This window comes from Homo sapiens, chromosome 20 (assembly GCF_000001405.40).
Source record: "Homo sapiens chromosome 20, GRCh38.p14 Primary Assembly".
NCBI classification, from domain to species: Eukaryota; Metazoa; Chordata; class Mammalia; order Primates; family Hominidae; genus Homo; species Homo sapiens.
In genome coordinates, this window is record NC_000020.11 from 21,436,033 (window position 1) to 21,460,704 (window position 24,672).

General features: G+C 37.7%; 1 long non-coding RNA gene across 1 annotated transcript in view; it reads left to right on the top strand.

Moving 5' to 3' along the window:
* The window catches only part of LOC105372558 (uncharacterized), a 44,594-nt gene extending 39,170 nt beyond the window's left edge, over positions 1-5,424 (top strand). The window contains exons 3-4 of the long non-coding RNA XR_001754528.1: positions 1,884-1,950; positions 5,197-5,424. This is a non-coding gene — a long non-coding RNA (uncharacterized LOC105372558). The remainder of the gene's footprint in view (positions 1-1,883; positions 1,951-5,196) is intronic.
* The last annotated feature ends 19,248 nt before the right edge of the window (positions 5,425-24,672 follow it).

The window sequence follows — 24,672 nt, forward strand, 5'->3', positions numbered from 1 at the left end:
TTATAATCTCCAGTCACTGAGCAGTTACATTGACATATCCTTAGGCTCCTTCAAGTGCTGAAGGGTGGGAGCACTGGTATATCAGAGAGTTCGCTCCCCAAAGTGCTAGTTTACGTCCATGTTTATGTAGTTGCTAATGGCAAGAGACAACCAACCAACCATTATTAAAAATAAAAACATTTGTGTCAGGAACTTCAAATGATCATGATGTGGGTGTTGACCGCATCTACACTGAGGCAGCTGGATGGCCCTGACTTTTATGTTGAGACAGATTTTAAATGACTCAACCATGTGGACATACAACCACCTTATACTCCTCTAACAATAATGCCTGTCCTCTGAGTTTTTTCGTTACTTGGTGATTTAGTTACTAATGTCCTATGAATCATATGTCAGCAATGCATTTATTTCTAGCCTACTGAGTGTCAAAGCTCGGGTAAACTGTGGCTATTTTCCTTTGTGAAAATTCCATTCGTTGACATGTGATTTTCTCATTTCCTCCTGAAACCATTCCATCATTGTCAGTAATCTTATTCTCTCTCTTTAGGCAGTAGTTACTGCTCTTGACTGCTTGCTTTTCAGATTTTCTGTCTTTCTTGGTAACCACTTTGATCACTACAAACTAACGTAGTATAGAATTTATTTCTTGGATATGCCTGCTTTTGTTGAGTGTGTAAATGGCCATTTCAGTTTAGTGGGTTCTTTGACTTAGATTAACTACATATATCTTTGTGACCATTTTTAGTTTGAGATAAGTTGGACTCCATGTTCAATACTAATTTTCAAGGCCTGAATGATTGGGTTGGCAAAACTGAAGAATCAAATATTACTCATTTTTCACCACTTAATGCTATGCTATGTGATTAATTTTTGCATTCTGTAAAGCTTGTCCTATACCAGGCTCTTGTGTCATAAATTCCATTTGTAGTTATTTGTTTTTAAAAGATTAGTATTCTATTCTTTTGTTTCTATACTACTGTGCCTTTTTAAATCCTTTGATACATGTTTCCTACATAGGTTTTTGTTATGTGTTAGATAGTTTGCTTTCATTTTCAAGGCATTATTCAAGTGTCTTTCACTGCAGAAATCCTTTTTATTCCATTTCTCTGCTTGTCAGAATTCCAAACCAGAAATTTCTGAGAGAGCAACAGGAATTTCACACTTAGTTCAAGTTCATGAGGTTGAGAGATTTCTTTGCTAGACATATTTGGCAGAAATAAAAATTGTTAATATAGAAACCTCTCAAAAATTAAAAATGGGAAAGTAACAATCATTGATCCCGCTTTTCTGGAAAATGTTGGACAAAATTTTACTTAAAACAGGGGCAATAATTTTCAAGTCATGAGTGATATTGGCTTCTTGTAATTAAAACTAAAAATTCAGTAGTAAAATGCAAATAAATCATAATGTCAGCATTTACATGGATTAGATTTGTTTATTAAGTCAAATGGAATTATATCAGTAAGCTCTGAACTCAGAAAAATTTAAGCAATTACTGTACAATCCTGACAGAACCTATACTATAACATGACCAATGTAATCATTATAATCTGTCAAAATCACATTTAGTGTACCTACATGTTGATTATTGAAAGAGAACTATATCTTGTTCCTTATGAAAATAAACACAATACTAATATGATGATGAAATAATGCTATAAAAGTAAAATCATGATGTTCAGACATAATTTCCCCAAAACAGGTATCTAAAATGTTAAACTTTAATCATCCTGTTGGCACAGTTGGCAGCATGTCAGTCTTATAAAATGTTAAACTTTAATACAATCTGATGATCCTCCGATGTTACTATTTAATGTTGTAGTTTATGCTTATGTTCATAAGAAAATATGGCAATGTCAAATATTGTTCTCATTTACCATTAGAATGTTTCTGTCATCCTTCAAGAGGTCTGAATAGATCATGGAACCATGTTCAAGGGCTGCTGTATTAGTAAGTAGTTACTTATTTCTCTGGGTCAGTGAATCAGATTTTAGCATGTGATTGCATGGCATCTTAAAGCATTTGGAAAGGCTGGAATTAGGAGTGGCATGATGTTTTCATCTTTCTAATACGTAGAATCTGTACTAAAGATATAAAGATATAATAGCTAATTTTGTGTATCAACTTGACCAAGCCATGGTGCCCAGTTGTTTAGTCTAATACCAGTCTAGGTGTTGCTGTGAAGGTACTGTTTAAACTGATTAACACTTAAATCAGTAGGCTTTGAGCTAGCATATTACTCTCCATAATGTACGTGGGCCTTGTCCAATCAGTTACAGACATTATGAGAAAAGAGCGAGGTCCCCAGAGGAAGGAGTTCTGTCTCCAGCCTGGTCTGCAGATTTGAGACTTTCCAGCTCCACAATCACATGAGTCAATTCATATATATATATATATCCTTTTGGTTCTGTTTCTCTGGAGAACCCTGACTAACTGGTAATTAAAAAATTAATACAAATGCTCCTTGACTTATGATGGGGTTATGTCCCAATAAACTCACCATTAGTTGAAAATATCATAAGTGTAAAATGCATTTAATACCCTGATAAACCCATCAGAATAGTTTTGAAAAATGTAAGTTGGCCAGGTGAGGTGGCTCACACCTGTAATCCCAGCACTTTGGGTGGCTGAGGCGGGTGGATCACCTGAGGTCAGGAGTTCCAAACCAGTCTGGGCAACATGGCAAAACCCTTTCTCTACTAAAAATACAAAAATTAGCCAGGTGTGGTGGCACACATGTGTAATCCCAGCTACTTGGGAGGCTGAGACAGGAGAGGATCGCTTGAACCTGGGAGGCCGAGGCTGCAGTGAGCTGAGATTGTGCCACTGCACTCCAGTCTGGGCAACAGAGCAAGACTCCATCTCAAAAAAAAAAAAAAAAGAAAAAAAGAAAAAAGTAAATCAAACCATCACAAGCCAAGATGCTATATTCTAAAATATAAAACACCCCAACCTCATTATGTGACATTATCTTCTCAATAGTTTTCCTCTAAACTCTGCTCAGCCTGCCTGCCTTTCTTTTCTTTTCTTTTTCTTTCTTTCTTTCTTTCTTTTTCTTTTTTTTTGTGAGACAGGTTCTCACTTTATTGCCCTTTATTGGAGTGAAGTGGTGCAGTCATAGCTCCCTACAGTCTCAGACTCCTGGGTTCAAGCACTCCTCCTGTCTCAGCCTCCTGAATAGCTGGGAATACAGGTGCATGCCACTACACCTGGCTCATTAAAACAAAATTATTTTTGTAGAGATGAGAGCTAACTATGTTGCCCAGGTTAGTCTTGAGCTCCTGGCCTCCAGTGATCCTCCTGCCTTGGCCTCCAAAGTGTTGGGATTATAGATGTGAGCTACTGTACCAAGTCTTATTTTTTATATAAAGGATATCTGAATACTATTTTAGAAATTTGTTATTTTTAATTCTGCTTTGTCCTGAACAACTCTTTCTGCATTTTGAGACCCCTTAGGCACAATCCTCATACTGATGTTGAAAGATGGCTTTTGTGTGTGGTGATAAACCATGGAGAGAAGAATTATGGTATTAATTTCCTGCCTGAAAAGATAGAGATGGCTCCATTGTGGGACTTCCCCATGCATTCGAACAGCCTGTTTCACATGTCTCTAGACAAGTTATAAAATGAATGTTCCTGTTGTGCTAGGGCTGAGATGAAGGGAAAATTATATTCCTTATGCCCTCTTTTCTCACTTACAAGGTAAAATCAGGTTAATCTAGAAGGAGGAAGTAGTCACAGAACATTTATGTGGTCTGAAGTTTGTGTGTGGAAGTGAGAAGAGTCAGTTGTATTCTCTCTGATGGTGGCAGTGGCAGTAGCGTTACAGGTCAAATAGATTCAGAGAGCACCGACCGATGCAGTATCCTCCTGCTGTCATTTCCATTGATCACTGCCTAGTTGCCAATTAGTGGAACAGCATAGGACTCCTAAAACATGTAGCTTCACATGATCTTTCCTTAGTGCTTTGGCCATTTGCTATCAACAATATATTTTTTTTTTTGAGACAAAGTCTCGCTCTATCGCCCAGGCTGGAGTGCAGTGGCACCATCTCTGCTCACTGCAACCTCCACCTCCTGGGTTCAAGCAATTCTCATGCCTCAGCCTCCCGAGTAGCTAGGATTACAGGCTCATGCCACCACAGCCAGCTAATTTTTGTATTTTTAGTAGAGATGGGGTTTCATCATGTTGGCCAGGCTGGTCTTGAACTCCTGACCTCAGTTGATCCACCTGCCTTGGCCTCCCAAAGTGCTGGGATTACAGACATCAGCCACCGCGCCTGGCTGGTTATCAACACTTATTAAGCACCTAGTATACACCAGAGCTTGTTTTAGCAGCTAGTGTTATGCAATATGAATAAAATCCAGTTTCTTCCCCTAAATAGATTGTTCCAGTTTATAGTACAACATGACAAATACTAGAACACAAATTTGTAAAAATTAACCATGGAAATACCATCATTTCTTTTCTTTGTCTTGCCTACTTTGTCACAAATCAAATGTCTGTATAGGCTTGGGTCTCTTTCTGAATTCTATTCTATTCCATTAATCTATTTGTCTTTCCGTCAACCAGTACCACACTGTCTTATTTACTGTAACTTTACAATAAGTTTGGATACCTGATTAAGTTCTCCTACTTTGTTCTTCTTCAAGATTATCTTGGCTAGTCTTGGTTCTATACATTTCCATGTAAATTTTAGAATCACTTTGTTAGTTCCTTAAAAACGTTTTTGAAATTTTATTTGGGACTGAATTGATTCTGTAGATCAATTTGGAATAATCACCTTATTTATGATGTTGAGTTTTCAAATCCATAAACATGGTGTGTTTCTTCTTTTGTTTAGTCTCTCAGTGTTTTATAGTTTACCTTATAAGGGTCTTCTTATAAATCTTTTGTTTGATTTATTTATAGGAATATAATTTGTAAAAGTTATTGTATAAGTTATATTTTTAAATTTTCATTTTCTAATGGTCACTGTTATATATATAGTATATAAATACTTCAAATCCAGAAAATTTGCTAAATTCGCTTACTAATAATTTATTTGTAGATTTGTTTGAACTTTCCATACAATCATATTGTCTGTGAATAAGGAAAATTTTAATTCTTCCTTTTCAATAACAAAACTATGAATATGAATGAGGCTAGTTCAATATTCAAAAATTGATCAATGTAATTAACTTACCTTGTCAACAGATGAAAGAAGTACATGATCATCCCAATAGATGCAGAAAGAGAATGTGACAAAATTCGACTGCCATTCATGATAAAAACTCTCAGAAAACTAGGACTAGAAGGGAACTTCCTCAACCTGACAAAGCATCTCTACAAAAAACCTGTCAGTAACATCACATTTGATGATAAAAGAGAAAAAGAGTGTTTTTCTGGCCGGGCACAATGGCTCACACCTGTAATCCCAGGACTTTGGGAGCCTGAGGTGGGCGGATCATGAGGTCAGGAGTTCGAGACCCGCCTTACCAACATGGTAAAACCCCGTCTCTACTAAAAATACAAAAAAGTTAGCCGGGTGTGGTGGTGCATGCCCGTAATCCCAGCTACTCTGGAGGCTGAGGCAGAACTGCTTGAACCCAGAAGGTGGAGGTTGCAGTGAGCCAAGATCACACCACTGAACTCCAGCCTGGGCTGACAAAGCAAGACTCCATCTCAAAAAAGAAAAAAAGAAAAAAACAAACAAACAAACAGAGTGCTTTTCCTCTAATGTTGGGAACACGGCAAGGAAGTCCACTCACTACTCATATTTAACATACTGGATGTCTTGGCTAATGCAAAAAGGCAAGAACAAGAAATAAAAAACTTATGGCGTGGGAAGGAAGAAATAAAACTGTGTTTATTTGCAGATGACATAATTGACTTTGTAGAAAATTTCAAGGAATCTTCAGAAAAGGTACTAGAACTAATGAGTGAGTTTAGCAAGGTAACAGGATATAAGGTCAACATGCAAATATAATTATATTTCTGTAACTAGGAATGAGTAATTAGAAACTGAAATCAAAATAGCACCAAAAAATGAAATAGAACCAAAAATGAGATTTTCAAATATAAATCTAACAAACTATGTGTAGGATCTGTATGCTTGCAACTGCAAAACTCTAATGAAAGAAATAAAAAATGAGCCGGGCATGGTGGCTCATGCCTGTAATCCCAGCACTTTGGGAGGCTGAGGCGGGTGGATCCCGAGGTCAGGAGTTCAAGATCAGCCTGACCAACATGGTGAAACCCTGTCTCTACTAAAAATACAAAAATTAGCCAGGCATGGTGGTTTGCGCCTGTTGTCCCAGCTACTCAGGAGGCTGAGGCAGGAAAAGCGCTTGAACCCGGGAGGCGGAGGTTGCAGTGAGCCGAGATCGCACCACTGCACTCCAGCCTGGGCAACAGAGCAAGACTCCATCTCCAAAAAAAAAAAAAAAAGAAAGAAAGAACACAAAATAGATTTTAGACCTAAATAGATATAAAACCTGAAACTATAAAACTCTTCAGAGAAAACAGAAGAAAATTGTTGTGATCTTTGGTTAGGCAAAGATTTTTTAGATATGACAATCCATAAAAGAAAAAAGCTATTAAATTGTCAAAACTGGAAACAACCGAAATATTCTTCAGTTGGGTAATGTATAAACAAATTTTGGTACATCTGTATGGTGGAATACATACAACCACATGGATGGATTTCAGATGTAGTATACTAAGTGAAAGAAGCTAGCCTCAAAAGGCTACATCTTATATGATTCCATTATATGACATTCTGGAAAAGGTGACAGTCTAGTGACAGAGAACAGATCTGGAAAAGGTGACAGTCTAGTGACAGAGAACAGATCAGTGGTAAGACTGGGGGAATGGTTTGACTAGAAAGCAGTAAAATGAAGGAATTTGGAAGGAAGGATGATCAACTGTTTTGTATTGTGGTGGTTACATGACTGTACATTTGTCAAAACTAGTACCCTAAAAAGGGCAACTTTCACTACTATACGTAAATTATACTTCAACTTTAAAAAAGCTGCTACAAAAGGATAAATTAAAGTAGAATTGCTGAGTAAAATGGTAAGCATATTTTTATTCAAATGTCAAACTGCTTTCCAGGAAGATGGTCCAATTTAGATCGTCTTTCCCCATCCTTGCAGGAGACGGATTGGGCAGCAATGGGCTTGTCAATCATTTTAACCTTTGCCAAACTGATAAGTGAAAAGTGTATCTTGATATTGTTTGATTTTCATTAAAAAAATTTTAAGTGAAGCCAAACATATTTCACATATTAGGTAATCATGAGTACTCTTTATTTTTCTGAATTGTCTGTTAATGTTTTTTGTTTCTATTAAGGTGTTAATTCATTTCCTGTTTAATTTATAAGCAACTTTTGTTTGTTAGGAATAGTAACTTCATTTCTATTTGTCATTTTGACTCTAGCTTTATTATTTTGGAGTCTACTTTGAGTTTTTTACTGATTAGTTATTCTCTTATAACTTTTATGATTATTGCTTCCACTACAACATTGTAGAGACTATGCCTTTAAGGTAATTAAGTATTTTCTATAACCTAAATACTTGATCAAATTTTATAAATGTTTCCTGATGCTGGATAAGAAGGTAAGTTCTGTTTTTAAAGTAAAATGCTTGATGCTTATCATTTAAACCAACCTTTATATTATTCAGATAGATTTCAATGCTTCTGACTTGGATTGGAAAAAGCATATCAGAATAATCAGAAATTTATGCTCAGTTCACCTCTCTTCCATACGTTTTATTCTGATCCAATGGGCCTCATTTATTCTGGCTCCTGCTTCTCTTGTTGAGAACAGTAGTATTATAGTCCTTCTTACTCAGCTCAGAGGTGAATCTCTCCCCGGAAATTGTCATCAGAAGTGTTAAGCCTCATCCCTGGGGGCAGTGTACATCCAATGACTGGTTGATAGATACAGGAATACAAAAGTCTGCCCTCCTTGCCTCAATGGGGACATTTTTGTTTGTTTGTTTATACTCTTTTTATGGCATTTTTTTGGGGGAAGTCCTGCAGTATTGCTAAGTTTTATAAATTGGGCAATGGGGTACTCTTAAAACAGAGACATTCTTGGTTTCCTCCTTATTATTACAGATGATTTAACCCCTTTTACACCATGGAATACTATGCAGCCATAAAAAACGATGAGTTCATGTCCTTTGCAGGGACATGGATGAAGCTGGGAACCATCATTCTCAGCAAACTATCACAAGAACAGAAAACCAAACACCGCATGTTCTCACTCATAAGTGGGAGTTGAACCATGAGAACACATGGACACAGGGAGGGGAACGTCATACACTGGGGCCTGTTGGGGGAGGGGTGGGGGAGTAGGGGAGGGATAGCATTAGGATAAATACCTAATGTAGATGACAGGGTGATGGGTGCAGCAAGCCACCATGGCACGTGTATACCTATGTAACAAGCCTGCATGTTCTGCACATGTACACCAGAACTTAAAGTATATTTTTAAAAAATGTTAAGCAAAAAATAAAAATAAAGACATAACAATGGACTTAAAAAAAGTCTGAGCTGGGCACGGTAGCTCATGCCTGTAATCCCAGCACTTTGGGCGGCCGAGGTGGGTGGATCACGAGGTCAGGAGTTCGAGACCAGCTTGACCAACGTGGTGAAACCCCGTCTCTACTAAAAATACAAAAATTAGCTGGGCGTGGTGGCACGTGCCTGTAATCGCAGCTACTCTGGAGGCGGAGGCAGGAGAATCGCTTGAACCCAGGAGGCAGAGGTTGCAGTGAGCTGAGATCGCATCACTGCACTCCAGCCTGGGTGATAGAGTGAGACGCCATCTCAAAAATAAATAAATAAATAAATAAAGGGCGGGACATTTTTTTTTGAAACACCACATTGGCTCCAGAGCTCCCTGCAGGATCTGCTGAGGCCTTTGTTGAAGTTGCTCTTGTGCCAATCCTGTTTCCACCATTCCATTACAGGTGTTATTCCTGAGAGTACTCTTGAATGCAACACAATCTCGGTCTCAGAGTCTGTTTCTGGAGAACCTGACCTATGATAGTTACTTTTTGTTTATTTGATCTGTCAGAGATAGAGGGAGAATCAGAAAAGATTCTTTCCTTGCTTCTATTCTACCTCCTGCTGCCCTGCTCATATGAAAACTGGTAAATTTATTATTGCAAGTGCAAGATACAAATATATAACTTTTGTATGTTTTGATGCATTTCTATTTAGAAATTACAAGTTCATGAAGCTAATTCATTTTGAATTGTATTCTTTTATTTGCTCTGATATTCTTTGCCCATTTAATATTTTGCCCTAAATTCTAATCTGTTTGATATTAGTATTGTACCCCTGCTTTTTTATTCTTTGAATCTGTCTGATAGACACTGGCCTGACCTTAACATTTGTGATATCACATTATTGTTACTGAATCAAAGAATTTGTCTTTTAATGTATTTTAATTATTATTATAATTGATAATAATTATTATAACTGGTATGTCTTATCTTGCTTCTGTCATTTTGTTTTGTGTTTCCTGGTTTTTATCTTTTTTTCCTTTGCCTTTTGTAGATAGTTCTCTGTGTGTGTACTATGTGTTTTGCATTCATCTTCAGTGATCAAAAAGGGATATATCCTGTTTTAAATTCTGCTAATGATTACCTTTAAGTTTCCACAAATAGTATTTAACCGTTATTTCTATACTCTTCAGAGACAGAAGAAAATACAAAGTCAAAGTCTGTTTTATTAAGCAAGAGATTTGGCATAATTTCATTCCTCTCCTCATTTCTGTTTTTATGTTACTGAGTTTTAGATCCAAATAGTTGGTAAATTTTTACATTATATTTTATTATAATTTTTGTGAAGGGTGGTTGTATAATTTTATTTGCATTATAGATTTTTACATTTTTAAGTCAATTTAAAAGATTAACATTTCTTTCTCTTTTCATTGTGGTAATATATACAACATAATTTTTTTACATTTAATTTTGGTTTTATAACCAAACTTTTTTTTTTTTTTTTGAGACAGGCCTCACTCTGTTGCCCAGGCTGGAGTGCAGTAGCGTGATCTTGACTCATTGCAACCTCTGCCTCCTGGGTTCAAGCGATTCTTGTGCCTCAGCCACCAGAGTAGCTGGGATTACAGGTGGGCACCACCATGCCTGGCTAATTTTTTGGTATTTTTATTAGAGATGAGGTTTCACCATGCTGGCCAGGCTGGTCTCAAACTCCTGACCTCAAGTGATCCACCCGCCTTGGCCTCCCAAAATGCTGAATATAACCAACATTTTGAATTCCATTTCAGTTTATTACAATATAAACTACCAATCCATATGCCATCACCTCTTTCTCTCTCTTCCTCCTCTCAATCAAAGATGAATTTACTTGTGTGTCTGACAAAGGAAAGCAACATCATTTAGGTGTGAGCTCAAGTTCTCTCAGCAAAAATTTGAAGAGTTAAATATATGATGAAAAAAGTATTTCAAATAATGTAATATTCTGATTGAGTGTCTGGTTGGCAGATTACAAATATTATACAGCTTTCTTTGAGAGAGATCAGTCTTGTTTCACATCATTGATGCTGGGAAACTGGCTTCAATCAGGTCAAGAATGGGTTGTGTAAAATTCCAAGGGGCCTAGAGTCATGCAGTAGACGTGCTGAATTTCAACAAAACAGTCCACAGAAGTTTTGATTGTAATTATGTTGCACCCACAGATCAATATACGGAGAACTATCATTCTGACAATATTGAGTTTTGCAATTCATGAACATTATTTAGTTCTTCTTTAATTTTTACCAGTAATGTTTTCAGTATATATGTATTCCATATATTTAAATTTATCTCTGAATATGTTATAGTTTTGTTGCTATTGTAAATGATATCTTTTAAATTTAATTTTTGGATTGTTTGTTGTTAGTATATAAAAATACAATTGACTTGTGCATATTTACCTTGTGTCCTGTGACCTTGTTAAATTCATTTACTAGTTCTAGTGTTTTTTGGTAGATTCCTTTGGTATTTTTTACATATATTATCTTATTTATGAATATAGTGTTACTTCTTCCTTTTCAATCTCTTGCTTTTATTTCATTTTCTTGACTTATAACAAAGATAAATTCAATATTGAATAGAAGCGATGAAAGAAAACAACCTTGCTTTATTTCCAAGCTTAGGGGGAAAGCATTCAGTCATTCACTAGTAAGTATTATGCTATCTATACTTATTTTTTTTTCCTGGTGCCCTTTATCAGTTTGAGAAAGTTTTCTTCTAATTCTAGGTTGCTGTGAGTTTTTATCTTCAATAAATGTTGAATTTTGTCAAATGCTTTTTAGGCATATGGTGTTCTCCTTTTTTTTCTTTTTTTGTTTTTGAGATGGGGTCTCTTTCACCCAGGCTGGAGTGTAGTGCAATCTCGGCTCACTGCAATCTCAGCTCAGTTTTCTTCTAATTCGAGGTTGCTGTGAGTTTTTATCTTCAATAAATGTTAAATTTTTTCAAATGCTTTTTAGGCATATGGTTTGTCCTTTTTTGTTTTTTGAGATGGGGTCTCTTTCACCCAGGCTGGAGTGCAGTGGTGCAGTCTCGGCTCACTGCAACCTCCGCTTCGCGAGCTCAAGTTCAGGATTCTTGTGATTTAGCTTCTGGAGTAGGTGGGACCACAGGCAGGTGGCACCACACCCAGCTAATTTTTTTTTTGTAGAGACAGGGTTTTGCCATGTTGCCCAGGCTGGTCTCGAACTCCTGAACTCAAGTGATCCACCTGCCTCAGCTTCCCAAAGTTCTGGGATTATAGGCATGAGCCACAGTGCCTGGCCTCGCTTTTTCCTTTATTCTATCAATGTGGTGAATTATGTTGATTTTTAAAGAATATTAAACCAATTTTGCCTTATTGGGATAAACCTTACTTCATTACGATGTATTATCTTTTTTATAAAATAATGAATTTCATAAATTTTAAAAAGACTTTTACATCTCTCTTCTACTTCTCTATTTTTTGAGCTCTGCTTTTCCCCCTGATCTCTTGGTCTACTGTAGTATACTTTTAATGCTTTTTTTTAAGGTATGTTTTTTTGAAAAAGCCTATAATACTATTTATTATCAGATATAAAAGTAAGTATAATTCCATGATATAAAATTGTCATTGTTCATACATGACTATATATGTGTATCTGTCTATCTATCTATCTATCTATCTATCTATCTATCTATCCATCCATCCATATATCCTCTCTATATAAATGGGAGTATACTATACACACTAATTTTTACTTTGTTGTTGTTTTTTAAATCTAACAGTATATCCTAGAAATCACTCTATAGAGATATAGATATATTTCTCATATTCTCTCTCTCTTTCTTTCTCTCTCTTTGAGACAGGGTCTCACTCTGTCACCCAGGCTGGAGTGCAGTGGTGCGAAATAGCTCACTGCAGCATCAAACTCCTGGGCTCAAGCTATCCTTCCATTCTCAGCCTCCCAATTAGCTAGGATTACAGGCATGCACCACCATGCCTGGCTGATGAAAAATTTTTTTTTTTGGTAGAGACAGGGTCTCCCTGTGTTGTCCAGGCTGGTCTCAAATCCTGGCCTCAAATAACCCTTCTGCCTCAGTCTCCCAAAATGCTGGGATTATAGAGCCACCAGTCCAACTCCATTCTTTTAAATAGCTGCATGGTACTCCATGGTATAGATGTGCCAAAGTTATTCAGCTAGTCTGCTACGGATGGAAATTTAAGTTGTTTCTAGTCTTTTGCTATTACCAACGATGCTGCAATGAATAGCATGTATCATTTTATTGGCTTGCCAATATGTATTTTAAGTGGAATTGCTGGCTCAAAGGTAACTACATATATGATTCCACTACATGCTCCCAAATTCTCCTCCAAAGGGGTTGTGCCATTTTTTATTCTCATCATCAATGTATGAGACAGACTTGCCAACAGTGTGTGTTGTCATCCTTTGTAATTTTTGTCAGTCTGATAAATGAGAAACAATATTTCAGTATTGTTTTAACTTGTATTTTTCTTATTGTGAGGTTGAGCATCTTTTTATATGGTACAAACCATTTGAATTTCTTTTTCTGAAATTTTCTGTTTATTTTCCTGGCCCATTTTTCTAAAAAGGGCATTGGCATTTTTCTTCTCTATGTCTACAAGCTCTTTCTACATAGGATGTCAACCCTGTGCCTTGATGTAAGTAGCAAAATTATTTTCCCAGTTTGTCATTTGTCTTTTTACTTTGCTAATGGTATTTTTGACATGTAAAAGCTTTTAATATTTATTTTTAGGTAATTAATATATTTCCCTTATTCTTTCTGGATTTTTAAGTCACAACCTTACTCCTGGGTTATAGAGATATTCATGGGTTTTTTTTCTAGTATTTGTATGGTTTTTTTTTTTTTTTTTTTTTTTTTTTTGAGATGGAGTCTCACTCTGTCACCCAGGCTGGAGTGCAGTGGCGCGATCTCGGCTCACTCCAAGCTCCGCCTCCCGGGTTCACGCCATTCTCCTGCCTCAGACTCCCAAGTAGCTGGGACTACAGGTGCCCGCCACCACGCCTGGCTAATTTTTTGTATTTTTAGTGGGGACAGGGTTTCACCGTGTTAGCCAGGATGGTCTCAATCTCCTGATCTCGTGATCCGCCTGCCTCGGCCTCCCAAAGTGCTGGGATTACAGGCGTGAGCCACGGTGCCCGGCCTGTTTCATATTTTTTAGATAGAAATCTTTCATCAATTTAGAATTTATTCTGATGCATAGCGTGAAGAATAGTTTCAATTAAAAACTTTTCCAAGTGACTGCCTAGTCCTAAATCAAATACCTTTTTGCTACTAAAGCAGCTAAGATCCTGCCTTTATCATATACTAAATTTTAATATGCAGCTGTTTCTATATTTATGTATTTATTTATGTGTTTTTAAAGGAGAGTATATGGATGGTACATTTTGGGCCCCTGTAGCATAACTCTATGTTGCCTTTATACATCTTAGCTTGTTATAAAATTCTCAGTTCATTGCCTCCCCTCTGCACCTCACCCCTTAGGCAGACATTTAGATTCAGGCATAAGCATTGTAGAGAAGTCCTTGTCTTAAAAAAAAAGTACCTTCCTACCTCTTTTCAGGTATTATATCTTTTGGTAGGTGAAACTTGGATGGTTTTGTCTGTTTTAGGTTTGCTCCATCTGCCTTACAGTAAAAGCAGTTTCTGTTATTAAGCATCTGTTGAATTTGAGGAATGCTGAAAAGTAATCTGGTAAAAAGTATCTTCCTCAATTTTGAATCCATTTTGGATATAGTCTCAAATTGAGCAAATAAGCAAATGTGTTAATGTCTTTAGGAGCCAGGGTTCTCACTGTGGGAGAAGGAATATATAAATATGGAACAGGATAAAGCAAGGAATAACCCTGTAGGGATGAACTGGAATTGGAGTTATTGGTATAAATTCATGATTTCTAAAATAGGTATGTGCATGTTTATGTGCATAAATATATAGGTATGTGTATATATGTGTGTATTGCATGTATATGTATGCGTACATATATATATACATGCATATATTTCCTAGCTCTTTCCCCTACAAGGGCCAAGAAGGAAAGATGCCCCAATAGCAATGAGCAAACCTACAGACCAAATCTTGGTCTCTAATACTATTTTCCATTAAAAGGAAAAATAGGGCTTTATGGACAAATGGCTGATTCCAGGGCTGGGGCAGGGTAAGTGCCAGATGATCCTGAATCATCTTGTTATGCCAGCAAATAAAGTAGTGCTCAAACAAATCATGAGTCACGTCCCAAGGACACAGGAGCCAGCCTTACATGGTTCCCATTGGCCAACTCTGGAACAATTTGAGGACCAAAATAATTAAGTATAGTAAGGAATTTTTCTAAGTAGGAATTCATGATTACCTGCTGATAATAGTTGGATTAATAAACAGAGGCAAAGGAAGGTCTTGCTTGCAGTAGAATGCTGAGCTGTAAGTATGGAGGGAGTGTAGGAGTTGGAAAATCATCATTTTTCAATAATTATGGTAAAGATGAGATCAGGCAAGAATCATTAATGGGTGCTAAATCTAGGGGGAAATTTTGGTGAGGGACTGTATATTTGTATGGTCTTAAAGTGTCTCCTCACAGACTGCTTATTAGTTACTAGGAGAAAATTAAACCCCAGTAATTATTCAGTGGAGAAATGTGGGCAATGTCTTGCCCAGGTGATCAAAATTAACAGCACCAATTGAGGGGAAGACAGACACTGTGTGCCTTCAAATGCAATACCCTGAGAAGGACATGACATCACCTGTGCAGTATTCTGGCTGAGTAGTTTTAGAGGATTCTCTAATAGTCATTAGAATATTTTCACTATAATCTCAAGGAAACATCAGACAAACACAAAATTAGGAGAATTTCATTTAAAAGGAGTACCTGCTACTGGAGGAAACCAAACCAAACCATTTGTGTTTAATGGAACTTACTGTAGAGCAAGCTCATCCAATCCATGGCTCATGGGCTGCATGTGGCCCAGGGTGGCTTCAAATGCAGTCCAACATGAATTTGTAAGCTTTCTGAAAACATTATGAGATTTTTCTTGTGACTTTCTTTTTAGCTCATCAATTATCGTTAGTGTTAGTGTATTTTATGTGTGGCCCAAGACAATCCTTCTTCTTCCAGTGTGGCCCAGGGAAGCCAAAAGATTGGACATCCTACTGTATAGAGTGAGGGAGGCACATCATCACATGAATGGTTGTATAATTAAACTCATATTAGGCATCATTAAACTTCTGTTTGTAGTTGGATATACTTCCCTTAGGAGCTGGGGAAGACATTTTATTTTGGAAATGGCTCATGCATTGTTTAGAATTTTTTTTTAAATAAAGCACTTAACACATGCCAAATACAAGAAGTAGGAAGAACATTTACATGATCTTTGGGAAGACAGTATTAAGTAAAGGTGAAACCAAGAAGTAATAGTTTCTGCCTTCTTTGATTTTTTAATTTAATTTAATTTTTTTTTTTTTTTTTTTGAGATGGAGTTTGGTTCTTGTCACCCAGGCTGGAGCGTGGTAGCGTGATTTCGGCTCACTGCAACCTCTGCCTCCAGGGTTCAAGTGATTCTCATGCCTCAGCCCCCTGAGTAGCTGGGACTACAGGCACCCGCCACCACGCCTGGCTAATTTTGTATTTTTTAGTAGAGATGAAGTTTCACCATGTTGGCCAGGCTGGTTTCGAACTCCTGACCTCAAGTGATCTGCCCACCTCGGCCTCCCATAGTTTTGGGATTATAGGCGTGAGCCACTGTGCCTGGCCTGATTTTTTAATTTTAAAGAAGACAGAACAAATACAGGAACATGCAAGAAGGTTTGACTGTAACATGTTTTGTGGATTTCTTCCTAATCACTGCTTTCTGTTGGCTATGCTTTTGTGCTCAGAAAACACCTGAAAATGGTAGTTGCTTACACAATCAGATGCTTGACAATAATCCCAGGAAAATTATCCTTATCTTTCTTTTATAATGAATTCCAGGAACAATCAGGTCAATGGAGCATCTTCGGTGCTGTTGAGAACTACCAATTTTGTGACAATCATTGAAATTGTGCTGCATTACAGTGTCTTTGAGGACATACAAACAAACCAGTATGTAAATAACATTATTTCTCTTTTCAGCTGTGGTTTTCTTTTTCCGTGTTAATCAAATCCAGTGTTATTGAAGACAATATGGCATAGAAAATTATATCTGACTTTTTTCCTCAGGTGGTTATTATTTTACAATTATCTACCAAAATAGAGGTCAATATTTCATCAGTTTCCATATGTGAGACATTGTCCTCCTGTGTTATTTACAATACATGAAAGCCTACTTAGCAAACATGAAGAAATAAAATACATTTGGCAATCAAAAATTGGAACATGACTGCCTGTTACTAAATAAGATGAGCTAGGGCTGTGAAATAGGCTTTTATGGGAAGACTGTTTCAAATTTATGAGTGATGATATGGGAAACTTTTTTTTTTTTTTGAGACAGGGTCTGGCTCTGTGGCTCAGGCTGGAATGCAGTGGGCCGAGGTTGGCTCACTGCAACCTCCACCTCCTGATCTCAAGCCGTCCTCCCACCTCAGCCTCTCAAGTAGCTGGAACTACAGTGGAACTACAGGTGGACAACATCACACCCAGCTAATTTTTGTTATTTTTTGTAGAGACGGGGTTTCACCCTGTTGCCCAGGCTGGTCTCAAACTCCTGAGCTCAAGCAATCTGCCCACCTAAGCCTCTCAAAGTGCTGGCATTACAGGCATGAGCCACCGTGCCTGGCCTGGGAAGCTCTTTTAACAGAGGTGATGTAAAGTAGAAAAAGCAGTGGGCTCAAAAGGCTGCTCCCAACTGCCTAGGTGACCTTAGACAAGTCTTCATACCTCTCTGAGTCTCAGTTTTCTCACCTGCAAGTTGAAGGGTTTATAATGGATGATTTGTGAGGTCTCTCAAGGAGTTTAATACAGTGGTTATGCAGCCTACAGGGTCACACCCAGTGCAGAGCACAGCTCACCTGGCAGAGGCTGGAGAATGGGGACAAAAGAATAGGATGAAAATCTTTGGAGAGAATTGAATGATCACCTCTACCACTCTTGCAAGTCAGGGTGTATCCCACCTCTTCCAGAAAGTCAGGTTCCAGAGAAGACAGCAGGAAAGAGGAAGGTAGGACGTCAGGATAGTGCAGGATACCAGACAGGAGTCAGGGCAGGAAAGAGGTAAGAAGCAAAGTGAAAGCCAAGACTTTATATATGGAACCAACCGAAAATGAGCTGTAGAAAAAGGAATGAAGAGCTGTAATTGGGCTAATAACAAAGGCATTTCAAATAAGATTGGCAGACTTTGCTAGAGATGCCTCAGGGCAACCAGAGTAATTGCAGCGTGCAGAAATGAAAGTCCTTTTAAACTTCTGTTGACAGCCTACAATGTGCTTGGGAGTTGCTGGAAATAAAAAAACTGAATCAAACATAGCCCTGCCTCTTAGGAGTTTAAAATTTGGAGGGAGAGACAGGTATGTATGCCACTAACCGAGCTATCCTTTAGTTTGCAAATGGCACTAAAACAGCGGTTCAAATCAAGTGCTGTGGGAACACAGAAAATTAAATATGGTTGAATTAAATCTGATAGGAAGGATAAGGAAAGACTTGATAATGGAAGTGATATTTAAACTGGGCCTTGAGAAATGAGTAGGAACATCAGGTGGAATGCTAGGGGAGGGTAGAAAGGACAGCACATGCAGAAGAGTGAGAGAATGAGATGGTACGATGTGTCTGCCACCCAGTGAGAAGCCGAGTGTAACTGGAGTGGAGGGAGCACTAGGTAAGTCGTAGAGGTAAAGCCAGAAGACACACTGCCCCTGGATGGGGAAGGGCTCTGACTCTTAATTTAAAGAATGTGGGCCACAATCCAGTAAGAGACTGGATGGTGTCATTAGTATCAGCCACTTGGGCAGGTTTCTAGCCAGCCAGGCCCAGCCCGTTAGAGGCTAAGGGTGGAGGAGAGGATGGGCTAGCAGAGGGAGGGAGGAAAAGAGAGGAGTTAAATCAGTCTTGCAGTTTGAAGCTAGAAAGAGTGGTTAGGAATTTTAGTGAAATTCCTAAAGAAGAAGGAGATGGTTTGAAGAGAGAGAGATAATAAAGTAATTTGGGTAAAGTTGGAAACATCCATGAGAGACTTACCATTAGGATATTGATAATGTCATTCTGGAACTTGAGCGAGAGCCAGGGCTGGGTTTAACTACTTGGGAATGGAGGAGGTACTGAGGTTTACTCAGACCTGATGCCCCTCATTGCTTTCCATAAAGAATGTGGTGATGTCAGCCACGTATATGCCTGGTCCTGTGGAGATGAAACTGTCATAATTCCTGCCTTTGGGTGGGTGGTGAGATAGATGATAACTAACTTTGGTGCCAAATACTGTGGTGAGTGCTAGGTGTAGGTCCACAGTCCCTCATCTGGAAGACTTGAGGCAGATGTGTTAGGAAATTCAGAATTTAAGGCAATATGCTACATGTACTATATTTTACATAACTCTCCAGTGGGATCTGGACCAGCATGCAGTAATCAAACCCAATTTTGATTTCTAAAGTAAAGCCAGTGTTTCTAAATTGAAGCATGAATATCTGTATTTGACTACAAAGAGTCTCATGTCAGTTCAGATTAGGTCAGGCCACCAAAAAAGTTTGCATCAAAATTACAAAAAAACTTTTAGTTTTCAGAGCATTTTACATTTCTGAATTGTGAACAAAGTAGTGTGGATCTGTTGAAAGTCTTATGAGAGCAAATACTTCCAACGTGAGTCAAAGAAGGCTTTGCAAAGGAGACAGCAGTTGAGCAGGGTCTTGAAGAAAGCGTAGGCTCTCAATTAGCAGAAAATAGGAATCAGAGGTAGGATAAAGGAGATGGCATTTCTTTTTTTTTTCTTCAACTTTTATTTTAAGTTCCAGGGTACATGTGCAGGATGTGCAGCCTTGTTACATAGGTAAATGTGTGCCATGGTGGTTTGCTGCACAGATCAACCCATCACCTAGGTATGAAGCCCAGCATTCAGTAGCTATTCTTCCTGATGCTCTTCCTCCCCCCACCCCACCGACAGGCCCCAGTGTGTGCTGTTCCCCCCATGTGTCCATGTGTTCTCATCATTCAGATCCCACTTACAGATGAGAACATGCAGTGTTTGGTTTTCTGTTCCTGCATTAGTTTGCTCAGGATAATGGCTTCAGCTCCATCCATGTCCCTGCAAAGGACATGATCACGTTTCCTTTTATGGCTGCATAGTATTCCATGGTGGATATGTACCACATTTTCTTTATCCGGTCTATATTGATGGGCATTTGGGTTGATTCCATATCTTTACTATTGTGAATAGCACTGCAGTGAACACACATGTGCATGTGTCTTTATAGCAGAATGATTTATATTCCTTTGGGTATATACCCAGTAATGGGATTGCTGGGTCAAATGGTATTTCTGCCTCTAGATCTTTGAGGAATCACCACACTGTCTTCCACAATGGTTGAACTAATTTACACTCCTACCAACAGTGTAAAAGCATTCCCTTTTCTCTGCAACCTCACCAGCATCTGTTGTTTCTTGGCTTTTTAATAATTGCCATTCTGACTAGAATGAGATAGTGTCTTATTGTGGTTTCGATTTGCATTTCTCTAATGATCAGTGTTTGTAGGCCACACGAATGTCTTCTTTTGAGATGTGTCTGTGGGTTTTTTTTTCTTGTAAATTTGTTTAAGTTTCTTATAGACTGGATATTAGACCTTTGTCAGATGGATAGATTGCACAAATTTTCTCCCATTTTATAGGTGTCTGTTCACTCTGATGGTAGTTTTCTTTTGCTGTGCATAAGCTTTTTAGTTGATTTAGAGCCCACTCATCAATTTTTGCTTTTGTTGCAATTGCTTTTGGTGTTTTCATCATGAAATCTTTGCCCATTCCTATGTCTAGAAGGGTATTGCCTAGGTTGCCTTTTAGGGTTTTTATAGTTTTTGGGTTTTAATTTAAGTCTTTAATTCATCTTGAGTTAATTTTTGTATATGGTATAATCAAGGGGTCCACTTTCAATTTTCTGCGTATTGCTAGCCAGTTCTCCTAGCACCATGTATTGAATAGGCAATCCTTTCCTCATTGCTTGTTTTTTTTAGGTTTGTCAAAGATCAGGTGGTTGTAGGTGTGTGGTTTTGTTTCTGAGTTCTCTATTCTGTTCCTTGGTCTATGTGTCTATTTTTATACTAGTACCATGTTGTTCTGGTTACTGTAGCCTTGTAGTATAATTTGAAGTTGGGCAGCATGATGCATCCAGCTTTGTTCTTTTTGCTTAGGCTTGTCTTGGCTATTTGGTCTCTTTTTTGATTCCATGTGAATTTTAAAATAGTTTTTTCTAATTCCGTGAGAATGTCAATGGTAGTTTAATGGGAGTAGCATTGAATCTGTAAATTTCTTTTTCATTATATTGATTCTTCCTATCCATGAGCATGGAATGTTTTTCCATTTGTTTGTGTCAGAGAGGACATTTCAATAGAGGGAAGAACTGGAGCGAGGGTACAGGGGAAGGAAAATCCCTGGTTTGTGTGGGTCATTTTGGCTAGTCTTGGATTACTGGACCATAGGACTCATGGGAACGAATGGCAGGTTCAGGTGGGTTGTAACTTGAACATTAAGAACTTTTAACAATCTTTGGCAAGATTGAAACTTGAAATTTTATCCTGCCACTAGTGGAGAATGTCATGACCACATCTGCCATCTCTGCATTTGGAAAGGGGAACCCGGTCTTGTTTGGTTCTTGCTCTGTGCCAGTGCAGAGGGTTGATTAGAATGGAGGGAGACTGAGGTAGGGAGGCAGTAGGCATCATGGAAGAGAAGGATGATGTGTGCTGGTGCAAGCTCAGTCATGGAGAGGATGGAAATTTGAGATCCGTGCATCAGCAATTTTGAGAGCCAAGTTAGAATCAATGGGACTCGATGAGTAATTGAATAGACGGGGTGGAGGAAAAGGAGATTCAAAGATTGATTCCTGGCTGAAGCTCAAGGACAGAAAACAGGACAGTATAGTGAGTGATGAAGATTGAGTGCTCAGGAATCCATCCTGGGCTTATATCTCAGCTGTCACTTCCTACAGGAAATAGCTTAAACTTCTCCTCATCTACAAAGGAAAATAATAATGGCATCTTCCTAGGAGGATAAAAATATGGCATAAATGAGTTAATCTATGTGAATACTAATCACAGGGACTGACACATAAGAAACATCATAGCTCACATGTTTGTGAATCTTGATGATTTGATGACAAGACCCCAAGAAGATGTGTGTGTGTGTGTGTGTTTTTTTTTTTTTGGAGACCAAGTGTTGCTCTGTTGCCCAGGCTGGAGTGCAGTGGTGCGATCTTGGCTCACTGCAACCTCCGCCTCCCGAGTTCAAGCGATTCTCCTGCCTCAGCCTCCCAAGTAGCTGGGATTACAGGCATGCACCACTACACCCGACTAATTTTTGCATTTTTAGTAGAGACAGGGTTTCACCATCTTGGTCAGGCTAGTCTCAAACTCTTGACATCAAGTGATCCACCTGCCTCAGTCTCCCAGAGTTCTGGGATTACAGGCATCAGCCACCATGCCTGGCTCCCAAGAAGTTTTTAATTCTGAAATTGTTTATAGATTAACTTGTAGTTATAATATCTGTAAAGTAGTAGTCCTCAAGGAGGACCTGTAGTCTTTTCTGTCCTTAAGGTTCTGCAATTACATGAAAGTTTCTTATGTTTACCTCTTTGAATATTTAATATATCTAATTTTTTCTCAAAAATATGGGCCGAGTAGACAAAAGTCTGTCAATATACTCTTATCTGTTTCCTGGCTGTAAGAAAACATATGTACTCTATTTTTCTATCTATAATATGAACTTAAAAAAAGCAACCAATTGCCAAAACACTGTTATTATTGAAAAAAAATTAAATATTACTGGAGGTGGCAGGGACTGTGGGTTGAAGTTAAGGGAAATAAAAAGAACTCCTCATGGACAGAATTTTGTGAAGGTGAAATTCAGAAAACTAGTTACAGATATTCAAAATGGTATTGATCAATATGACAAATGCTGAAAGATGATTTGGAATTTCAATCTGGTTGGAGAGCTGCTTGTCAATTAGGCTGTCATAAGGATTCCTGTGTGGCTTGGCCTCTTTAAAATTCTTCAAAAGAATTACATAGTCTCCTGGATGAAAAATATATCACTGGACTCCTACCTATCAAGCAGTGTCCAGCTCTCCAGAGCTTAGGTCAGATAGCTTGATGCTCAGTGCTATCTGAAGCAGATGTGATGGAGGCTTTGTGAGCATCCTTCAGAAAGCATTTGCTGCAGGAAAACGGGAAAGTTGATTCAGAGGTTGATCATGGTGTGCCTGAAGTGGAACTTAAGCAAATTGTTGAAAAATTTCAAAAATCACTGACCACACTCAAATACTTAATCAGGAAAGAATTGCAGTTTACTGAGACCCCAGGTAGAAAATTCAAATGCAGACTGAGAAACACATGGGAGAAAGTCTGTGGCAATTACGTTTCACATATGTTGAGTTATGTAAACTTACAAACATTTGGGATTGAGAACTAGTGTTATCTATAAAATATTTTCTCTTAGGTGGCACATTGATTGCATTATTTTTACAAATCTCACATCATCTTTAGCAAAGTATTCTGCATTTGGAAAACTTTCTAATATAATGTTCTAATATTTTCTAGAGTTAAAAGATGTTTTTGGATTTTTTTTTCGTTTTGAAATGCAATTCATACACCTATTTTATAAATAAAGTAGTGGTGACACAAATGTATTCAATGTTAACAAATGTTCTCTAAGAATGAGATGAAGAAATTATCAGTAGCAAGTCCAAATTTGAGAGAAAATGAATCACTCTGAAACAAAATCATTTGGGGCCTTACTCATACAATATAATAATATCAAACATACGTAAAATGTTATATTTTCATATGGATCCTTGAATTATGGAGGATTCTTCAGTGGCTTTAATATCAGGGAACCAGATTAACTCAGATTTGATTCAGCCAGTCCAAATAAGGCAAAACCCAAATGCTTCTGAAACTATTTGACAGACAAATTAGTATCAGAAACTCAAGATATGAGGAGAAAAGCTATGTGCAACAAGCACTGTGAACATTTAACTTTTCACGTTCTGCATAGATGAATCCACAGTAAACTAGAATAACCATTACAAAGTTAAGTAGTTTGTTTTAATGAGCTATGTCTACTTAGGGAAAGTTAATGTAAGACCTCTACCAAGGATCCAATTCAAACAAGCAGCACTCTCCTTTCTTTCCCTTTTATCTGAAATATCCATGTAATTTTTATTTGGTCTTGAGTTTGTTTCTTCATTATATTTTGACTGTATAGGTAAGACCTAAAAGAAACAATTAGAGGTGGCATAACTGAAATTAATATGGAAATACACACATGCATAACAGCCAGGAAAGTAAATTAACTGATCCTTTTGAGCACTTGAAGACAATTCATATAACATCTAATTTGAAAATATTATAGGTAACAGGATTTGCACACTCCATTTAAAAAATAAATCTAATCTTAGCAAGAAATTCCACCAATAAAAAACAAATATAAAAGAAAACTCCAGTAAATGAAGACACTTGTGTTTCTGGGAAGGATGGCTAAACTGGGTAATGGGACCCAATTCTTCTCAAATTAGATAACTTACTTAATGCAATTTAAGGTTTGTTTTTGAGGACTTTTAGAAAATAATTCTAAAGTTCACCTGAGAAAGAGAAAAAGCAAATATTTTAAAGCCAGTCATAGGAGATCACCTATTAAATAAAATGTAAAAGCATGCGTTAAAGCTATAGTATTTAAAACAGAATGATTAAGGTATAAAAAGAACCAAATAAATGTAGCAGAATAGATAGCCTCCAAACAGATTTGATAAGAGAAGCATCACAGATCAATAGGTAAAAGGCAAGTAATTTAATACATGTTTTGAGAAAGTTGGCAAGCTCTTTGGTGGAAAGCATAGTTTTTCCTTCTCTGCCAAAATCCTATGTACATTTTATAAGAATAATACAATGGACTTTGCAGACTTGGGCGAAAGAGTGGGAATGGGGTGAGGGATTGGGTACAGTGTCTACTGCTCGGGTAATGGGTGCACCAAAATCACTAAAGAAC